Genomic DNA, 20,992 nt, shown 5'->3' on the forward strand with positions numbered 1-20,992 from the left:
AATGATAATATAAACTGTTTTCATTAGGTCCTAAAAAGTAAGTATTAATATGTGTCTGAAGCTATAAACTTATAGACTTTCAAAAGGCTAAGTTAAAGCCAGCCATGGGTTAAAGCCATGAGTTAAGTCCAAGTGTACACAGCTATTAAATAAATGCACTCGGCTGGGCACAGTGGCTCACACCTATAATCTCAGCACTTTGGGAGGCCAAGGCAGCTGGATCAATTGAGGCCAGGAGTTCGAGACCAACCAGCCTGGGCAACACAGCAACACCTCGTCTCTAATAAAAATTTTAAAAAAAATTAGCTGGGCATGGTGGCACACACTTGTAGTCCCAGCAACTTGGTGGGGGATTCCTTAAGCCCTGGAGGCAGAGGTTGCAGTGAGCTGAGATGGTGCCACTGCACTCCAGCCTGGGTGACAGAGCCAGACTCTGTCACAAAGAAAGAAAGGAAAGAAGGAAAGAAGAAAGGAAGGAAGGAAAGAAGAAAGGAAGGAAGGAAGGAAAGAAGAAAGGAAGGAAGGAAAGAAGGAAGGAAAGAAGGAAGGAAGAAAGGAAGGAAGGAAGGAAGGAAGGAAGGAAAGGAAGACACCCTTGACTATACAAATGAGCTATACTATTTATATAACAAATCTTTCTCTGTGTACATACTTTTTGTCTATACAAAGTCAAAATTTCCTCACAGGCACATGAAGTAAAGGTTCTCCCCTCACGCTTTTCATTTTTAGATGATGCTTAATACACTAAAGAGAGCTCTGCTTATTGTTCTTCTTATTTTTGCCAAAATACAGTATAACATTTTCACTTTCTACAAAACAATTTTTGAATAAAATGGCTCCAAAATGCACCAGGAGAGTTCATGCCACTAGTTAATTTATGCAGTCTCCGAATGGCTGGCAAAATAGCATGGGCCGATGCTGCAGCTGCTACCACGTTCTCAGTTACTTCTGGAATTTTTACAGTTTATTGGCGTAACGTGAAAATTTATACAATTATCTATGGTATGTCATGACTAATACATATGCAATACTAATACTATAAGCTTGCTACTTACACTCACTTTCTCCATTAAGAAAAACACTGATATTGTTATGTTAATTATCATGGGAATTGATAGTATATCATGTTTTTGCTTTTGAGCAAAAACGAGAACCCATTAAGTTCATATTTTTAAATTGGCACATTAGACAATATGCCAGTTTCATGACCCATTCAGCCTTCAACCCAGCCCACCTATCAGTCAGATACAACATACAAAAACTGTATTACTCGCCTACTTAAAACTGCCAATGGTTTCCCTCAGCAGCCTGGTATTTAAATCCCTCCATTTTCTGGCCCAATTTTTCTGTATTCTCTCTTACTACTAAATATCACTCAACTAAAGAGATCTCAAAATTCTCCCGTATATCCTTGTCTTTCCACTTTTATTTATACATTGCCTATATCTTGAATGTCTTCTCATATCAAAATCCTACCCAGTGACCAAGGCTCACTGCAAAGCCAAGATCCTTGATCAAACCTACCCTGACTATTCCAATCATTTCTATTCCTTCGGCAATTTTTTCTCAATCACCTCTTTCATGTCTATACATATCATCTGTTTAACGATATTGCAAGATCCTTGAAAGTGGAGGCCCTTGAGCAAGTAATTTAACTTCTCTCTATATATTAGTCGTGTGTCCTTTTAAAATCTTCTAGAAGGGTTGGATTAAATGATCCCTAGGGCTCTTCCTAACTCTTACACATCAATTGTTTGTGCCTTCTATAATTCATATATTAATCATCTGATGTTTATTTCAAATTATTTTATTTTATCAATACCTCTTACAAAATTACCCAGTCCTAGCTACTGGAAAATACTCTAAGTACTGCAGTTTCCAGATGGTAAATAGGAAGAGTTGACATCTTAATCAAGGAGTCATAATTAGTAAACTAAATATTCATTCATTCATTTTCTTACCAACAAACATTAAGTAAACTCAACTCTGGAGCAGGTATCATGACAGACAATACAGATAACTGAGTTAGCCCCTGTCCTCAAGGAATTCATAATCCAGGGAGAGAGACAGAGAAGGAAAAACACTACTTGTAATACAGGTTGCTAAAGAGAGTCATGAACAATACTATGGAAATACATGAAAGAAACACATAACAGGGGTGTGAGGTACAGGAGGCTCAAGAAAACCTTCCTAGAAGAGGTGCTATCTAAACTGAAACCTCAAGGACAAAAAGTAGGCAGCAGTTTAGGATGAGTAGTGATATCGTTTGGCTCTGTGTCCCCACCCAAATCTCATCTCAATTTATAATCCCCAAGTGTGGAGGGAGGGACCTGTAATCCCCATGTGTCAAGGGAGGGAGGTGATTGGATCACAGGTGCAGTTTTCCCCATGCTGTTCTCGTGATAGTTCTAATGAGATCTGATGGTTTTATAAGTGTTTAGAAGTTCCTCCTTCACTCTTCTCTCTCCTGCCACCTTGTGAAGAAGGTGCTTGCTTCCCCTTCACCTTCCACCATGATTGTAAGTTTTCTGAGGGCCTCCCCTCAAAACTATGAGTCAATTAAAACTCTTTCCTTTATAAATTATCCAGTCTTGGGTATTTCTTTATAGTAGTGTGAAAACAAACTAATACAAGTAGCAAGTACAAATGTGTGGTAAGAGAGCATGGCTAGTTTGGGGAAGTCCAAGTAGTCCCCATAAGGCTGCAACTTTGGATGGGGTGAGAGAGGTGCTAAAGGGACAGGCAGGAGTCAAGTCATGATGGACTTGTATACTCTGCTGAGAAGTCTTAATTTTTACCATGAAGCAAATGTGTAGCTGATGTCATAGAGATAATATCTCCAGATAAGTCAAAAATTGATGAATGATTAAAGGTTTACATTAGGGACAATGTATAGCAGAGACTATTAGTTATTCCCCAATATCTGTTCTTCCCGGCTCATATAGTAATAATTATTTTTGCTTGTCCATGCAGTGAAGGGCCACATTTTCCAGCTTAGGTATCACCATAGGATTAAGTTCTGGCCAGTGGGATATGTGTGAATGTGATGTGTGCAAATGCTAAACTACATCCTTAAAGGAAAGGAGTGTGTTTTCTCCTGCCACTTTTCCTATTCCTTTGAATGGAATGTTCTTAGAAAAGAACAAAGAGAGTGCATATAATGCTGTGAGTACCTCATAGAATGAAGATAGAACTTTGTTCACCACTGCATCCCCATCACCTGGTTTAAAGAAGGTAGTCACTAATTTCTGTTGAATTAATTTGTGTAAAATACCTCATTTTCTCTCATTAGAGAAAGTGCTGCCCTACATAGTAAGGCTAATTAAAGCTAGCGAATCTTCTTTATGTGCAGATAAAGCAGATCCCCATATAAAACAGGTAGATGGACCTAACCTACATGCAGAGTCATTCTAAACCATTTAAGACTTTACCATTTTAGGCACTGATTTAAGCAGAAAATCAAACTATTGTGAAGTAATAGTTTATGAGTATAATGTAATGGGTTCATTTTTTAAAATCAATAAATGATATACCAAGTCACAGAAAACTCAATATTCACATTACTCAAAATCCTCTCTCCTAAATTATGTGATACTTTCTCATTCAGCATGACCCTCTTATATCAGACCAATTTGGCTTGTCTTAAATGAACAGGTTTCTAATGTCTTTTAACATAGCCCAATATCACAATGGCTTAATAACCAAAATCTAGTTGTGAGAAAAGGTAGCATCATACATATATGCCAGAATTTCTAAATCGAGCATGCTTTCTGTTTTTAACTCCACGGCACCTGACTCCCTGACTCCAGGTGATGTCAACTGTTGAGCTTAGTGATAAAGAGGAGCTTTCATCTAATTAATATAAAGGTATGCATAGATTTTTTATTCTAGTGACAGCAGTGCCACCTTAATTGATTTTATCCTACCTACTAGCTGTGAGATCACCACACCTTTTGCCATACATGGCAAAGCAGAAATTCCATCTATGCAAATAAAAACTTTACTTAAGATTCACAGGAAATCATTTTATCAACTCACTTTAACTTCAACTAAAACTACTTTGGCCCCTGAGTAGAAACAACCCAAGTAGATAATAGGCATTTAAAAATACTGAAAAAGTGTAAAATGACATTTCAAGATCATTCTGAAAGAAAAATTCGGTAAAATTAAAAGTAAGAAAAATTGTAAGAAGAAAAAGAGAGCAACCTAAGATTAACACATTTTAAAAGACACCTATGTTCTTTAAGACATTTAATTATGTCTGAAGGTCATTTTTTAATAATAGAAAGGAAATAGTAATTATTTAGTCTGAAAGATAACACTGACTGTAGCTTATTACTTTAATGAAGACCTGGGAACAGCCTGCCTCCCCCAACACACACAGAGATATTTGGTTTGGTAACTCCCACTGGACAGAAACACAGTCCTTGACTATAAACACTAACTGTATCTTTTTTGAACCCTAAATAGCTGAAAAGTCAGTGGCCGAATTTTTTTTAATTCCAGTTATTTCATACTATCTGTACATAGTATCATGGAATACATTTTATAAGACATTTTTCAGCCACATGCAGTCGCTCACACCTGTAATCCCAGCACTTTGGGAGGCCAAGGTGGGAGGACCACTTGAGCCCAGAAGTTCAAGAACAGCCTGGGCAACATACCGAGGCCTCATTTCCACTAAAAAAAAAAAAAAAAAAAAAAAAAATGCCAGGCATGGTGATGTGCGCCTGTGTTCCCAGCTACTCAGGAGGTTGAGGTGGAAGAAACATTTGAGCCCCAGAGGTCAAGGCTACAGTAAGCTGTGATCATGCCACTGCATTCTAGCCTAGAAAACAGAATGAAACCCTGTCTCAAAAAAAAGACATTTTCCATAACACACCACCCCAATACTATGCCCCAGCCAAAAAAAATGGCGTGGAGGAGTTGCTTTTACCTCAATCATCTGTCCACTAGTAACCTATATCAGGTATAACTTTTAGAAGTAATTAAAAATATCAGTGTATACACATAAAATTTCTCAGAAATCTTTGGCTCTGGCCCACTATAGAGCATACACAGACAAGGAGGTAGCCACTCATACTAGTGGGTTTAGCAGTTTTGTTTTAAATACGAGTCTGGCTTTGCTATTTAGAACTAAGATCAATACCTTTATGACAAATACAAATATACAATCAACTTGAATTGAGAATTCAAAATTAGATCAATACATACTGCCTTGAAAGACTGTCACCGATCAAAATTAAATTCAAAGGAGGAGGAGCTCTACAGCAATTTGGAGCTAGACTGCAGAAAAACAGCATGAGGTCTGTGTTAGACTGAGCATAAATCATGAACATTTTGATAGACAAGCAGTAGTACCAACAGACACACTAGTTCCATCCTCTTTGTGGCCACATTTGTTTCAAAACAAATTTCTCTTTCTGAGGTGATAAAAATGTTCTAAAATTGTGGTGACAGTTGCTCAGCTCTGTGAGTATACTAAACATTACTGAATTATATTACTTTAAACAGGTAAATTGTATGATGAGTGAATTATATCTTAATAAAGCCGTTAAATATTTTTTTCGACACAGGATTGTGAAGTCAAAATATTGTACACAAAAACAGAGCTCTGATTAGCTGTCAGTAAAAAGATTGTCAATTTGTTTTAACCTCTAAAGTTTTTTTCCAGTTTAAAATAAACACGCCCACACACATATACCAACACACACCTGTGCACACACATGCACATATGTACACATAGCTTTGAGCATTGAAATATTCAGAAATACGTTCCTTGCTTTTCAATAAGACCTCCTTTAAAAGTGCCTTCTTCAAACTATCTTTCCAACTTTAACACCCTCATCTGATCATTTCTCTTTATTTCTCTAGAATCTGTTTTCTAACATGCCTTTTTTAGATATCATGCTCTGTTATATAATGGCCTCTGTCAGAGATAGCATGAAAGGAAGTGTTGTGGTTAAAAGCATAGACTCAAGAATCAGACTACATGGATTTTACTCCTAGTTCTTATACATATTAGGTGTGTAACCACAGGCAAGTTATCCAGCATCTATATGCCTCAGTTTCCTCATCTGTAAAGTGGGGCTAATAATAGTTTCTACCTCATAGTATTGTTATGTGGTTTAAATGTATCAATGCATCAGATGCACTTGGAAGGGTCCCAGGCTCATAATGAGTGCAATAATGATTTATTAGTCACTGGCTGCTTGGTAATAATATTAGTATTGGCCGATATCAAATTGACTCATGTTCTCTGTTGCCCCTGGCAAGACTGTAACCTATTTCAGGGCAGTGAATACATTTTCTCCCTCCTAGTAGAGTGCTTTACGTATAATTGCTTGTTCATAAATGTTCACGTGGATACTGTACCTATATGATACCAAAAGTACTTATAAAATTCTTACTGAATCCAAAACTCATTTTGATAAATACCAAATTGCTATCACAATTACTGACATTTTGCTTTAACCCCATCAATTGAAAGGCTACAGATATTAAAGGATCCTTTGGTCTAAACAGCTTTTTTTTTTTTTTTTTTTTTTTTTTTGAGATGGAGTCTCGCTCTGTCGCCCAGGCTGGAGTGCAGTAGCGCGATCTCAGCTTACTGCAAGCTCCACCTCCCAGGTTCACGCCATTCTCCTGCCTCAGCCTCCCGAGTAGCTGGGACTACAGGCACCTGCCACCACGCCCAGCTATTTTTTTTTTTTTTTTGTATTTTTAGTAGAACAGGGTTTCACCATGGTCTCGATCTCCTGACCTCGTGATCCGCCCGCTTTGGCCTCCCAAAGTGCTGGGATTACAGGCATGAGCCACCGCGCCCGGCCAAGAGCTTTTTATATCATTAGTACAAAAGCATTGGATTAGAAACTAAAGGCCTACTCTTAGCTCCACCTCACAGGATGTAACCCTTCTGCAATTTACTTAAACTCATTGTGCATATTCCACAGGAATAAACAGAATAAGAACAGTTAATCATGCTTCAAAAGAAAGATGCTCTAAAAATAAAGGGTATTATCTTTATTTAAGGTTTGAGCTAATGACCTAATGGTAGAGTAAGTCTAATTTTTCTAAAAAATATATAAATTTGAATACTGCCTTTTTATCATCAAATGATACTGAGAATGATCACTATTTATAAATGTAGACATCACTGCTAATAAATAATATATTTCATCAATATAGTGAGCTAAGCTTTTCAAGCACTTGAATATACATTATCTTAATAACGGTCATAAAAACCTGTGAATATACAGTATATGACCAATATGTTACCTGGTCTTTTCCCTTCTGTGCACCTGTGGCATTTCATCACCAAGGATTATCTCTCTCATCATTTGTCTGACATTGGAACTAAAGGGCATCATGTAAGAAAGTAGGAAAGGTAGATTCATGTACTCTCAACTTAAAAGATTAGTCTATCCCTCTAACACCTAAAGCTGTTCTCAATACTCCATTTAGACTTATCCATTCATTTATCAAAGGTACTATCAAACTTTTATCTTCTCTTAGGGTATTATTTGATTTGTTATTACAGTAACCATGATAAAAACTTGAAATAACCATAACAACTCAAAATCCATAGGAAGACATTATTCACAACAGAATTATACCTCTTCCCAATGGCTTAACTATTACAAATGCTTCAGTATTTTCTTCTTTGGGGACTTAAAATCTGGAACAATTAGAGATAAATCAGAAAAATGTGTGACCCCTGTGATTATCAGAAAACCAAATGTTTTCATGTTTAAAAGATAACATTGTTCATAGTATACATTATCCTGCATAACCCTTTTCCTTCAAAATGGATATTAAAATTTAAAATCCTATTAACCCAAACAGTATCACATTTAAATATATATTGGGCTAATTGTATTAAAAACTGACATTTTTCTTGGAATCAATGTGATGCCATATTTGAGTAAGTAATAAGCCAACATTCACCATAAACTTTCTTGTCTGCCAGAAAACTAGTGTTACTTCTAAACAGTCTACTCACCATTTACGAGATGCACATTCGAAAAATAGCATTCCAGCTAGGATTAAGACAATATAAACAAAGAAGACACACAATTTCCCCTCACATTTCTGCTTCATATATGATTGGCCAAGGTCCTATAGTATGCTCCAAGTTATCAACTAATTTAGCCACAAATCTATGAAAATAATAATAAGTATAGTTATATTTCATATGTGGCTTAAGTGTGCTTAGCACTCTATACGCATTATTAATTTAATCCTTAAACTAGATGAGATAGTTTACAAGGGAGATAAACAAGGCTCAGAGAGGTGAAGCAAGTTGCCCAACAAAAGGCAGTCAGGATTTGAACCCAAGCCTATGATTCCAGGGTTCAAGATCATAGCCATTAAGCTCTACTGCCTTTCCACTAAGAAATATCTGAGAGTGAGGCCAGGTGCAGTGGCTCATGTCTGTAATCCCAGCAAACTGGGAGGCTGAGGCAGGAGGATTGCTTGAGCTCAGGACCAGCCTGAGCAACATGGTGAAACCCTGTCTCTACAAAAAATACATAAAATTAGCCAGGCGTGGTGGCATGCACCTGCAGTCCCAACTACTTGGGAGGCTGAGGTGGGAAGATCACTTGAACTTGGGAGGTTGAAGCTGTAGTGAGCCTTGACTTTGCACCACTGCACTCCAGCCTGAGTGACAGAATGAGACCCTGTCTTAAAAGAAAAAAGAAACATCCAAGAGTGGAACAGAAAACTTTGTTGAAATGAAGTGATCTTTAGAAATGTATCACCATTTTTTTAAAAGTGGGACCAAGAAAGAAAACTCTACAAACTACAAGCAAAACTCTTATCTCCTTTTACTGAATAGACTGTAAAAGCACTTCACCTGTAGACGATAAAGACCATCCACTAATCACAATCCTCTATACCCATGTCCTTACAAGATTTGAGCAGTAACACAACAATATAACAATGTCAGGCCCTGTGAACTATGTCTGGCATGGAACAACAACAATGAAAGTGGGACTGCAATAATGAAAATCAGTTGAAAGATTTAGTGTTTGACTTACTCCATTTACTTTCACCCCCTTTCTTCACTTGCCTTTTTCTTCTTCATCTTTCTCATCTGGAGCAAATTAAACCATCACGTTGTAACAGGCATTCCTCCAATGCTCTGCTGGCCTATTTTCAAAACCATCTCAAACTGTAGAAACCTTTTATCAACCTCAAAGCACTTAATCCTTGACAACTTTCTTCTAGTATTAACTATTTCAGTGGCCAGCAATTAACAAACCAATTTGTATACTATGCTGTAAATGAAAGCAGCTTTAAAGTTAGCAAAAGTGAACTTCAAATCAGTGAGACAGGCAAGTGTGCACAGAACAAGGCAAAGCTTTGACACCATGAACTGTGCTGCTTTAAGTTTGTGGTCCTTGTGTTCTAATAACCTCTAGCCTTTTTTAAAAATTTTTTTAGATTTTTTTTTTGAGACAGGGTCTCACTCCGTCACCCAGACTGAAGAGCAGTGGTGTGATTGTAGCCCACGGCAACCTTGAACTCCTGGGCTCAAGGGATCCTCCTGCCTAAACCTCTCGAGTAGCTGAGACTATAGGCGTGTGCCTCCATGCCCAGCTAATTTTTAAATTTTTTTTTGTTCTTATAGAGACAGGGTCTCGCTTTGTTGCCCAGGATGGTCTTGAACTCCTGGGCTCAAGCAATGCTCCCGCCTAGGCGTCCCAAAGTGTTGGGATAACAGGAGTGAGCCACTGCGTCAGGCCTAATAACCTCTATTCTGAAAATATCATTCCCTAGGCAGGTCCTTCATAGTCACTCTTAGCCATTACCCACCAACATTAAAAACTCTGTAAGAACTCAACACATGTTTAGATTTAGACCATTAGACCAAGGGTAACCAACATGTACCCTTGAAATTGCGCAACAGAGAAAAACATTTATGTCCATTAACTTTCCCACAGGTCATCATGGGAATTTACGGCTATGAAAATGTTTGGGTGTTTGACTAAAAGAACAGATTCGGGCAGTACAGCACCACCTCAGTGCTTTCCAAAGGGTCATCTCAGGGTTACCACAGCTGCCCTTGCAAGCAGAGACTTTCTCTGAAATATTGGGGTTTGCCTCAGATTTTCTATGAATATTGCGTTCTAAGGCAGAATGTATCTGAATTTGTTTAAAGATTTTTAAATAGCTACCAGTTAATGTTCTCCTAAATCTCTGTGTAAAACAGATGCTTCAAGAAAATACAAGCTGCTTTATTTTGTGGCTCCTGGGAGCACCACCTTGTCACCACCCTGCTCAATCAGTACATGTGCTCCACTTTGAAGGACCCAAAGTAATGGAAAGAGCACTAGACAGAGATTCTATTTGTTTAGACTAGCACAATGCTTGGAATATAATAGGCACTTAATAAGTATTTGTTGAATGAATTGGCAGAATAGTTTCAAGGACTAGTTTTCAACTGCAAGAAAACTGCAGAAAAAATCCTTTGAGACATGTAATTACTGGCAACCCCACAAAACCGAAGGAAAAAAAAACAGGCCAGGTACAGTGGCTCATGCCTGTAATCCCAATACTTTGGGAGGCCACAGCATGAGGATCACTTGAGGCCAGGGGTTCAACACCAGCCTGGGCAACATAGTGAGACCTCATCTCTACCAAAAACAAAAGAAAATACACCAATTGTGTATTGGTAAAGAACAAGAAAATCCATGTTGTTTTAGTTTAGTTAGAAAGGAAAAGGCTGTCAAGATGTTATATAAAGATAATACTGAGGGGGGTTGTGTTAGGATAATTAAAACCCAATTCATATCATGGACGCTAAGAAGAGTTTTCAATTAACTCTTGGGTTTTCCTTTGCATGTTTTTAATCTTAATGATGTCAAGTTTACAGAGGAAAATAAAGAATTGTAACGCACACTCATGTCCCCATGTAACCATGCAGGGCGCTGGGGCTAAGGAAGGTCAGGAATCATGTCTCATTTGTTTTCTACCTTTCTCTTTTCTACTTTTCTATTTCTTTTTCTTTTTTTTTTTTTTTTTTTTGAAACTGAGTCTCGCTCTGTCACCAGGCTGGAGTGCAGTGGCACGATCTTGGCTCACTGAAACCTCCAACTCCCTGTCTCAAGCGATTCTCCTGCCTCAGCCTCCCAAGTAGCTGGGATTACAGGCACATGTCACCACGCCCAGCTCATTTTTGTATTTTTAGTAGAGACAGGGTTTCACCATGTTGGTCAGGATGGTCTCGATCTCCTAACCTTATCATCCGCCCGCCTCGGCCTCCTTAAGTGCTGGTATTACAGGCGTGAGCCACCATGCCCGGCCTTCTCTTGCTCTTAATACAGATTTCTATACACATTAGCAGTTCAATAAATGTTCAACAACTGCAAAAAAATAAGTGTCTAATCACATTAAATAAGTTCTTAACTGAATTTCTTACCCCCACCCCCACAAAAGACTCTCTTGTGCTAAAGAAGCATAGGTTGGTTTAAATAACAACAGAAAAACAAAAACTAAACTGCTCTGAATGGTACCAGATGAGAGTACTAACAGACGAGTCTTGGCTCATTTCAATTACATGACCCTGCCATATCTATTTTCCTATGACATGAGAACCACACAGCCAGTCCTCTATTTACAGTTATTGCATGAGTAAATCAGTATATATTTACATGGTAACTATTATGAGCAAGCTATTGGGAAAGATAAAGTAGTTTATTTACCTCCCTAATCTCCACCACCCACAGCAACAACATACTATGTGCAAGGCCCTGATTTAAGCAGTTTACTGCAAGGTGTACAATCTCATCGAAAAATCTTGGTGCCAGATGTGTTTCTGAATTTAGAAATGTCCAGACCTTTAGACAGGAAATATACTTTATATACCATATGTTATGTAATACACCATTAGGGTCTATGGTGCAACCCCATAAACATATTAGTAATTCTATAGCAAAACAAAATAAAGATCAACATTAAGTAGAATAAAGACTATAAATACCCTATGTCAGTTTAAGTCAGGTTTTGCCACCACATGAGTTTTGGCATCTAAGTTACCAAATAAAATCTTTTTCAGTTTTCAGAGCTTTAGAAATTTAAAAATTGCAAACAAATTGTGGGCCTAGGCCGGGGGAGGTGGTTCATGCCTGCAATCCCAGCACTTTGGGAGCCCGAGGTGGGTGGATCACCTGAGGTCAAGAGTTTGAAACCAGCCTCGCCAACATGGTGAAACCCTGTCTCCACTAAAAATAAAAAGTTAGGCCGGGAGCAGTGGCTCACGCCTGTAATCCCAACACTTTGGGAGGCCGAGGCAGGTGGATCACGAGGTCAGAAGATCGAGACCATCCTGGCTAACATGGTGAAACCCTGTCTCTACTAAAAATACAAAAAACTAGCCTGGCGTGGTGGCACGCACCTGTAGTCCCAGCTACTCGGGAGGCTGAGGTAGGAGAACCGCTTGAACCCAGGAGGCGGAGGTTGCAGTGAGCCGGGATCATGCCACTGCACTCCAGCCTGAACGATAGAGTGAGAGAGCGAGACTCCGTCTAAAAAAAAGAAAAAGAAAAAGAGAAAAGAAAAAGTGGGCCTAGCTAATTCATGTAATCTTTGCAAGTACCATAAGAGGCAAGTTCTATTACCCCTTTTTTACATATGAGATAACTGAGGTACAGGGAGGTTTACTGACTCACCCAGTGTCTCACAACTATTAAGTCTCCTAGCTGGAATTGAAACCTAGGTGGCCTAGCTCCAGAGCTTGAGCTCTTAACAAGTATGCTCTACAACCTCTCTCAGAAACCACTTCGGAACACCAAACACGTGAAAAGTAAAACAGTATTAAATGATCTAACATCAAAAAATTAATAGGAGAAACATCACAAGACAGTATTTATTCATTATTCAATAACTATTTATAAAGTGCATACCATGTGCTGGGTGCTCAGAATACAACAATGAGCAAACCGGATGAGGTCTAGGTCGCCTTCATGAAGCCAGAGGCAAGTGGGGAGATGGCCAGGCATCAAATAAGCATAATTATGACACAACAGGGCAAGTGTGTGACTGCTGTTCACCTTCAGAGGGGGAGATCTAGTTCAATGGGGAATAGTGTAATAGGACCTGGAATTTGAAATGACAAAAAAGAAAGGCATGGCATCCATTTGACAAGCACCCACTGTGCACGTACTCTATGCCAGGAATAATGCTAAGCACAAAAGTTCCAAACTGGGGAAAATCAGTTTAAACCAATAGAGATTTGTGAAAGGGAATAATAAGGACATATGGGAAAGTAGGCTGGGATCAAATCAAGTTGACCCTGCAGGCACTGATGAAGGTTATTTTGCAGGTTATTCCCCCACAATATTAGGATTTACTCCTATGGAATGTCAATAATCATCTGCATTCCTATTTGGGACCAACTAGACCTCAAAGCTGGATTGCTTTCAAGGAAGGGCTTAGGGCAATAAATTCATTTAAGCCTCAGGAAACACAGTAACCCTAATCTCTCAAGGAATAAAGGTATGGCCATTTGAAAATGTTGGAGAGGCAACAGGTAAAAGAAAATGATAAGCCCTTCTTAAAATTCCAAAGGCCCTTTCTAAAACCTAGGTTATTCCTTTATACAAAATAAAATTTCCAACCTTCCAAAGGAAACATATTTCCATGAGAAAATAAGATATCATTCTTTGAAAAATAAATTCTTAAGTTGAACAATGATCTGATTTTTAATAAAGTTGGTGACAACTTACCTTGTAGCACAAGTCACAATGTGACAGTGGAAAGTAAACTGCCTTTTAACATACTCACCTCAGGGTTCCCATTCCCCCATCCCCTTACCTAAACAGAGTAGAGGAACCGAATTACATGATTATTTAGCATACTGATCATAGAGTTTTTTTTATTCTCAGGTATTAATATAAATGACTGAATGAGTAGACATTCTATTTATCCTCTGCAAAACATTTTTTTTTAAATTTCCCTGGATAATTTTTTTAAGCCAATGACCTTCCCCAGGAAAGACTCTTCAGTGGCTTCCTATTGTTCTGAGAATCAAACCCAAATTCTTTCTCAGGACCTCCAAGTCCTATTTATCGGTTATTGAGCTGCTTCTAGGCTCTGTAACATCTTCTTTAATCCGCCATGCTGGCTTGCTTTCTGCTCTTCAAAAACGCCAAGTCTCTTTTTCCCCCCTCAAGGCCTTGGCTCTTACTCTTCTCTCTGCAAGAATGTTATCTCGGGAATGTTCTCCCAGATCCTGACAAGGTAGGCCTATTCTCTCTTCTCTTTCAGGTCTCTGCTCAATCATCTTCTCTGAAAGGCCTTTTCTGACTTCCCACACTAAAGTAGGCCCTTCCTAGCTATCTGTATCATATTCCCCTACTTATTTTCATTGCTCTTACTACAGTCTATAAGGATCTTCTTCATTTGTTTGCTCGTTTATTGTCTGTATTCTCTGGTAGAATATAAGCACTGTGATACTCCACAAGAGCAAAGATCATGCCTTATAAGGTTTATCATTGTGCCTAACACAGGGCCTTGGCACACAAGTACCCAGTAGATTTTGTAAAATGAATTAGTAAATGAATGAATGATACATAAAAACCTGATTGTTATGAATATCAGTAACTTGAGAAAGCCATTTTTATAATTTTGAGATATTTTCTCTAGGGCTATTCATTTCTCTACAGTCTTTCCACATTTTCTGAAATAATTCCTGGAAATTTGTTGTATTATTTCATAGCAATAAAAATACATCGGTTTCAATCAGTGGATTTAAGAAAAAAATATTTTCAAGAGGTTTTAGTGGTTTATCAAACATCAATAAAAATCAAACAATTTGAAAATTGGTCAGTCTCATTTCACTACTGCAAGTCAAATTACATGAAGAAGCATAATTTGAAATGTACATAAAATGAGAAAGAAGATAATCCAATAAGTAAGTGCAGTTACATTTAGTAATATCAGAAATATCCAGTCTGCTAACCTCTAGGTGTACCAGATGGACTATCAAACACATATTGAGTCATATTGAAGATTCAGAGCAAAATGCTTATGGCTAACTCATCCACCTTTATTCTTTTCCTGGCAAATATAAATAGTCTTACTATGCAATCACATTAGCAGCAATCTTAGCTTAGATTTTGTATCAATAATAAGCATGAAAAGAAAAAAGTAAGAAAATAGTATAAACTCTTTTCCTTGAAAAAGTTGTAAGTTTTTATGTATTTTGAGAATAGTTTGCTAAGAAAATTACAGACTTAGAAAGTGGGCCTATTAGAATAAGTACCCTTTCCCTACTACATTCCATTTTTTAATAAACCTCAAGTAAACTCAGGAATTTACCAAATCAATTGGGAAACTACAAATCATCTGCAAGTTATCTAACTAAATTGATAAGCAATAGGCCTTACTTTTCTTGTGAAAACTACTTTCTTCAGAACATCAACTGAGCCTTATATAATCACACTACACTTTTTGAAGTGTGCTTATAAAAATGGCAGATTGAAAACCTTGGGCTTTTTAATAATTGAAGCTCTTATTTATCTGTTTTTTAAATACATCATTTGATGTTGCAGCAGAAACTACTCTCATCTCACTGCCATAAGACGTGCTACCAGGACAGTGAAATTTAGCCATTATCTTCATTCACAACCTGGTTTCTTCTGAGATTGCTGCCAATTAGTGCACACTGTGTCAATGGCAACACTTGGTCATACATCAGGCAAACAACTCTTTTACCGTTAAGTATGAGGATATTAATAAGAACTTGCAGTTAAGGGAGCTAATATTTTTAGATGTAAAATGATGTCATAAATGCTGAATTATTTCATTTTTCTCAGTTTTTAAATTTGAACACTAGATACAGTCTATTTCCAAAAACACAGCTGCGTATGTCAGCATGTGCTTGTTCACTGGTATTTGCCTCCACTTTGTGCTTCTCCATTCAGCTTTCTTCACACACTAATTGCAGTATGAAAGTGAGCAAATGAACCTCAGTATGGGAGCTAACACCACAACTACATGGGGAGAAAGCGATATCGCTAAGAGTGAGTAGTCTTTTTTGTAACTACGTGGTTTTAAAATATGCTGCTTTTAGAGGGTTTATACAAACATGAAATCTACTGTTAAGAAACTGTGGCTTCAAAAAAAAGAAAGCAGGTGCCCTCCAGAGACAGTTTTAAATCCCAGCGTCTCTTAGTCTCCATTCAATGTGCTTAGTTACCAGCCTATGCTAACTTGAGCGACTTTATCCCAAACCACTAAAGTCCTCTGACTACATTAAAACGATTAACATCCTAGTTTACAATTAGAGAAATGGAGCCAGGCATCACAATTCCCACCAATCCTCTCTCTCAGGCCTGCTCAGCAGCCAGGGAAGAATCAGATTTAGGACCATGTACGAAGATTGCGTACCAACATATATACATACATTTTAAGTGGCTATTGTTCTTGGACTAAGTTAATGAAACCTAGAAAGAAACTTTAAAGTTCCCTAGTTGATATTTACTAAGGCTATTTAGTGAAGGAATGATCTCATCACTTTCAGTAAACTGTAGCCTAGACTATAAGCCTCCAAGAAAATCATTAGTCAACTGTAATTAAACAAACAAACAAACAAAAAAGTCAAAATATTCAGAGCTGAAGACATTCAGAGCTAAGTTAAAAGCTTCGAGGAAGAAGAGGAGTGTGCTCCTGACTTGGGAGCCAGCAGAGGAGCCTCCTAAGTTAGAAGATTCTGAAGGAGAGATGGATTAGGAGGCACAAAGCAGAAACTGTTAGAGGGCAAGAGACAGTAGGGCCGGGGCGGGCAGCGGGACCCCAGACCGTCAGGGCAGCAACAGCGAGGCCCAGAGGAGAAGATCTTGGAGAGATGACAAAGAAGCACAGGAAAGCCGGGTTCTGGGGTCCTAGAAGAACCCAGGCGTCCGACGGAGCCAGAGGGACCGGCAGAAAGGGATGCGAAGGTGTAAGGATGAGGGCGCGCACCAGCACGCGGGAGAAAAAGAGGGGGCGGCGGGCAAAATGAAGCTGTTTCCCTGCTCCTCTGCTCCTCTGCCCCTGGTACAGATCGCAACTCCTCGCCGCGCACCGCGCAGCGCCGGGTCCGAAGGCAGGGAAGCGGCTGCTGGAGCCCCTGTGACTTCAGGACCCTGCCTCACCTTGCTCGCCGCGTCCTGGCGTCCCGCCGCTTGTCCGCCGGGTGCTGCGCTCCGAGGGCCAAAGAGGGAGTCGCGCGGCGCAGCCGGGGCTCCCTCCTGCTGCGAGGCACCAGCACCCGCACCTTCGCACCCTCTGCTCGCCCCGACCACTTCACCCTGTCCTGGCGCAGGCGGAGAGCACGGACCCTAACCCGAATGCCGCTGCAGTTATTTTCAAAAGTCCCCGTTCCAGGCTTCCCAGGAATAGGAGCTGAGCTACTGCGGCCGCAGCGGCAGAGCCTCCGCCTGACCTCACCAGGGTGTGGGGGGGCTGCTGAGGGAGGGGGGCGGGAACCCAGTTGGGGAGGGAGGGGGCAGTGGGGGGGGGAGCGCGCGGGCGGGGGAAACATGGCGGCGGGGGTGGCCCCGGCGGCGCCTGCGCGGGAGGCAGGGTGGCGGGGAGCCGGGGCTAGGACGGTGTGTGGGGTCCGAACGGAACTCCCAGGCTGTAGCGAAAGCGTGACAGGGCCGGACCCTGAAGCTGAATGACCGCTAAGTGGCCCTCACGCCTCGGAAACCGGGAGGCTCTGGTGTGAGCCCACATGGATTCTAGTGCCGGGAGGCAGAAAAAGTGAAAAGTGTCAAGTATCCAGGGACAACAGTGCAGCCGCCCCGGGTTAGCCACTCCAAGGAGGTCCACCCGTGCATTCTGCCAGCCGTGGCCTCGGCCTCCTCATAGTCACGGCGGGGCCCGAGCAAAGGGTGTGCCCTGGAAGCGGTGCCACCTCACCTCAGTGGGGCCCACGTCTCAAAATAAGCCTGACCCAGGCTCTCACACAAATATCACTCTTCTAGTGGGATAAGCGCTTCATCCCTCCCCCTCCCTGCTGCAGTACACAACATTAAGAAAGAGGAAGGATAAAAACTACAAATAACAGTTTAACATTTTACTGAGCGTCTGCTATGAACCAAGCACTGAAGCATCAACTTACCTAATTCACAGCTACTCTACAAGTTACACACTATTGTCTCCATTTTACAAGTGACAAAACTGAGGTGTATAGGTTAACCAAGTTGCCAGAGGTTACATAAATAGTAAGTGGCAGAGCGGGACTCAGGATCCCAAGCGGTGTGATTCTGGTACCCAGGCTCTTAACCACTATGCAAACTGCTTCCAAACTCTGGTGGGACTGCTCTTCTAAGTCAGAATCTTGATTCTGCTCTATCAGCCTAGCCCCCAAAAAAAACCCCAGTCAAGCCTGTTTTTCCCCTTGCTTGTCTTCTATTCATTCTTTGCCTTCTTGACGGTTACAGCCTGGGGCCACCTTCTTACACCTATTCCTTTGCCCTTTCTACTTATAATTCCAGACTCCTCCTTGGGAAAATAAAGGGAGTTTGCTCTTAGCAACCAGTTTAATCACTATTGTGATTTTTTTTCTTTGGCTGTTTTTTTCTTCTTCTTCTTCTTAAGGAAGTGATGCGGTGAGTGTGGAATCTTTATGTTTTCTAGGATTTCTCCCTCTGGGATCTGAGATCTTCAACATTGCTGACTTTGTATTTCAACTTACATACACTGAAATTCTAGTAGTAGGTTTTAGGTAAATTTGAGAATAATCAGCTACTCAAAAACTTGCTAGAACTAAAGATAATACCACATTGTTGGACTTTACCAAATAATCAAAGAACTCCAAATATACATAGAATTTGCATTATTACCTTTTACGTGCAAGTGTATTGAACCCAATTCCCCTTTGTTAACAGGAATGCTTCCACTGGCTTCTCCACTATGCTTATTCAATAATTATTGTATACCTACCTTACACACTAAATGCTTATTGGGTAGAAAGCACCTTGTACAGAAGTTTACAATCTCACTGAGGTGATATATTCCAAACAATCACTTTTAGCATGTATCAAAAACCTGGCACACAGGTTAAAAAAAAAATAAGTACAAACTGAGCTGGTGTACACTCGAGTCACTGCTTTGTCCTGCCATAAAAAGGTTCAAGTGGGGTTACTTTATAATAAGTTTCTCCCACAGAAATGCCAGTAAAAATGGGATAATCCAGTGTGGGCCAAGCAGCCCTTATCTACACAAAGAGAAAACCCTCATAGCAAGGGTGTTGAGATGGGGGCAACTGCAGGATCTGCATTTGAACTGCCAGTAGCTTGCACAGATTCTCAGTTTAAAAAAAAAGAAAAAAGAAAAAGAACTGGCAATAAGATATTACAAATATGCTTATCCAATAGAAGTCCATTGCTGTTTGGGTTCGGATGCTTTATCTGAATACTTAATCTACTGGATAGAGCACTAGACTCAGAGTCAGAAGACAATTTATGTGCTATGTGACATTAAGTTAGTGCTCTGAGAGTGTTTTCCCAAATTTCCAGTGGGGAGCAAAATAATACTGGTCTGATATGCCCCACAGCATTGTTTTGGGTTTCAAATAAGATAACACATGGGAGAGTATGTTGCATTTGGAGAAAAGGTCTTTAAAGAGGTAATTCAGTTAAAGTAATGTCTCTAAGATGGGCCCGAATCCAATATGACTGGTGTCCTTTTAAGAAGAGTTTAGGACTTAGACATATATGCACATAGAGGAAGGACCATGTGAGGATGCAGTGAGAAGGCAACCACTTGCAAGACAAGATGGGGCTTCAGAAGAAACCAAACTTACCTACACCTTGATCTTCCAGAATTACAAGAAAATAAATTTCTGTTGTTTAAGTTACCCAGTCTATGGTGTTATACTTTGTTATGGCAGGTCTAGCAAACGAACATAATGGGAAGCATTTCAAATGCCAGCTAGAGTATCCGCTGACTTAGTTATTGTTCATTGCTAAAAACACACACATTAATTATCTGTTTCCACGTGTCAGGAGTCCAGGTATGGTTTAGCTTGGAGCACTGCTCAGGGTCTCACAAGGCTGCAATCAAGTTTTTGGCTGGGCTGTGTTCTCATGTGCAACTCAGAATCTTCTTCCAAACTCATTCAGATTGTTGGCCAAATTCAGTTCCTTGCAGTTACAGAATTAAGACCCGTAGCATTTACTGGATCTAGAGGCAGCCCCTCTCCATTAGCAGTTGACAACATGGTTGTTCTACTTAGCCAAGGCCAACAGAAAAACTTCTTTCTCCTCAGGAGGGGTCCAGTGCCTCTTTTAAGGTCTTTTACCAGATTAAGTCAGGCCCACCCAAGATTATCACCCCTTTGATTAACTCAAAAATTAACTGTGTGCCTTGATTACATCTGCAAAATCTCTTCACCTTTGCCACATAATGTAACCTAATCACAAGAGTGATAGCCCAGCATATTCACAGGTCCCAACCATACCTAAGTGGAGAATGTATAACAGAAGACAAGAATCTTAGGACCATCTTAGAATTCTCCCTACCATGCCCCAAAGATTTGACAGCACCAATTAATTATACAATTATAAAAATTAACTAAGAGACCATACAGGCAGATGTGGGCACACACATAACATACATACACACACACACACACACACACACACACACACCAAAGTACACAGAGCTGGTAGCTGATCCCTAATCGGTCTAAAAGCATTTGCAAGCTTGCTGTGTGCCTAATGTGAAACTAAAAGATTTCAACTGCATTAATTCTGACTAAAAAACAAATTGAAAACTATTTAGGATACATTTTGTCTCTCTGGTAAATTTGCATTTCCTCAAAACACTCATCTCATCAATTATTGAATGGAGCCTATTATTGAATGGAATCTATTATAAAAAAAAAAACCCTCACAGGGCTTTGGGTAGCATACACAGAAGGGTCTTGCTTTAGAAGTTAGAGATAAATCTGATTAAAGATGTGTAAGACCTGTCCTGAAAACTTTAGGCTTAAATA

At 39.8% G+C, this 20,992-nt stretch overlaps 1 protein-coding gene across 4 annotated transcripts in view; it reads right to left on the reverse strand.

The window, feature by feature from the left end:
- Positions 1-17,974, reverse strand: part of KLHL13 (kelch like family member 13) — a 219,528-nt gene extending 201,554 nt beyond the window's left edge. For 3 of the 4 annotated variants that reach the window (NM_001394866.1, NM_001168303.4, NM_001168302.2), the window contains exon 1: positions 17,142-17,444. The gene's annotated coding sequence lies outside the window, so the exon portion shown is untranslated. Of the gene's footprint in view, positions 1-17,141; positions 17,445-17,910 lie in introns of those variants that run through there. The other variant, NM_001168301.2, reaches the window with a different exon arrangement.

Source organism: Homo sapiens, chromosome X (assembly GCF_000001405.40).
Source record: "Homo sapiens chromosome X, GRCh38.p14 Primary Assembly".
Taxonomy (NCBI): Eukaryota; Metazoa; Chordata; class Mammalia; order Primates; family Hominidae; genus Homo; species Homo sapiens.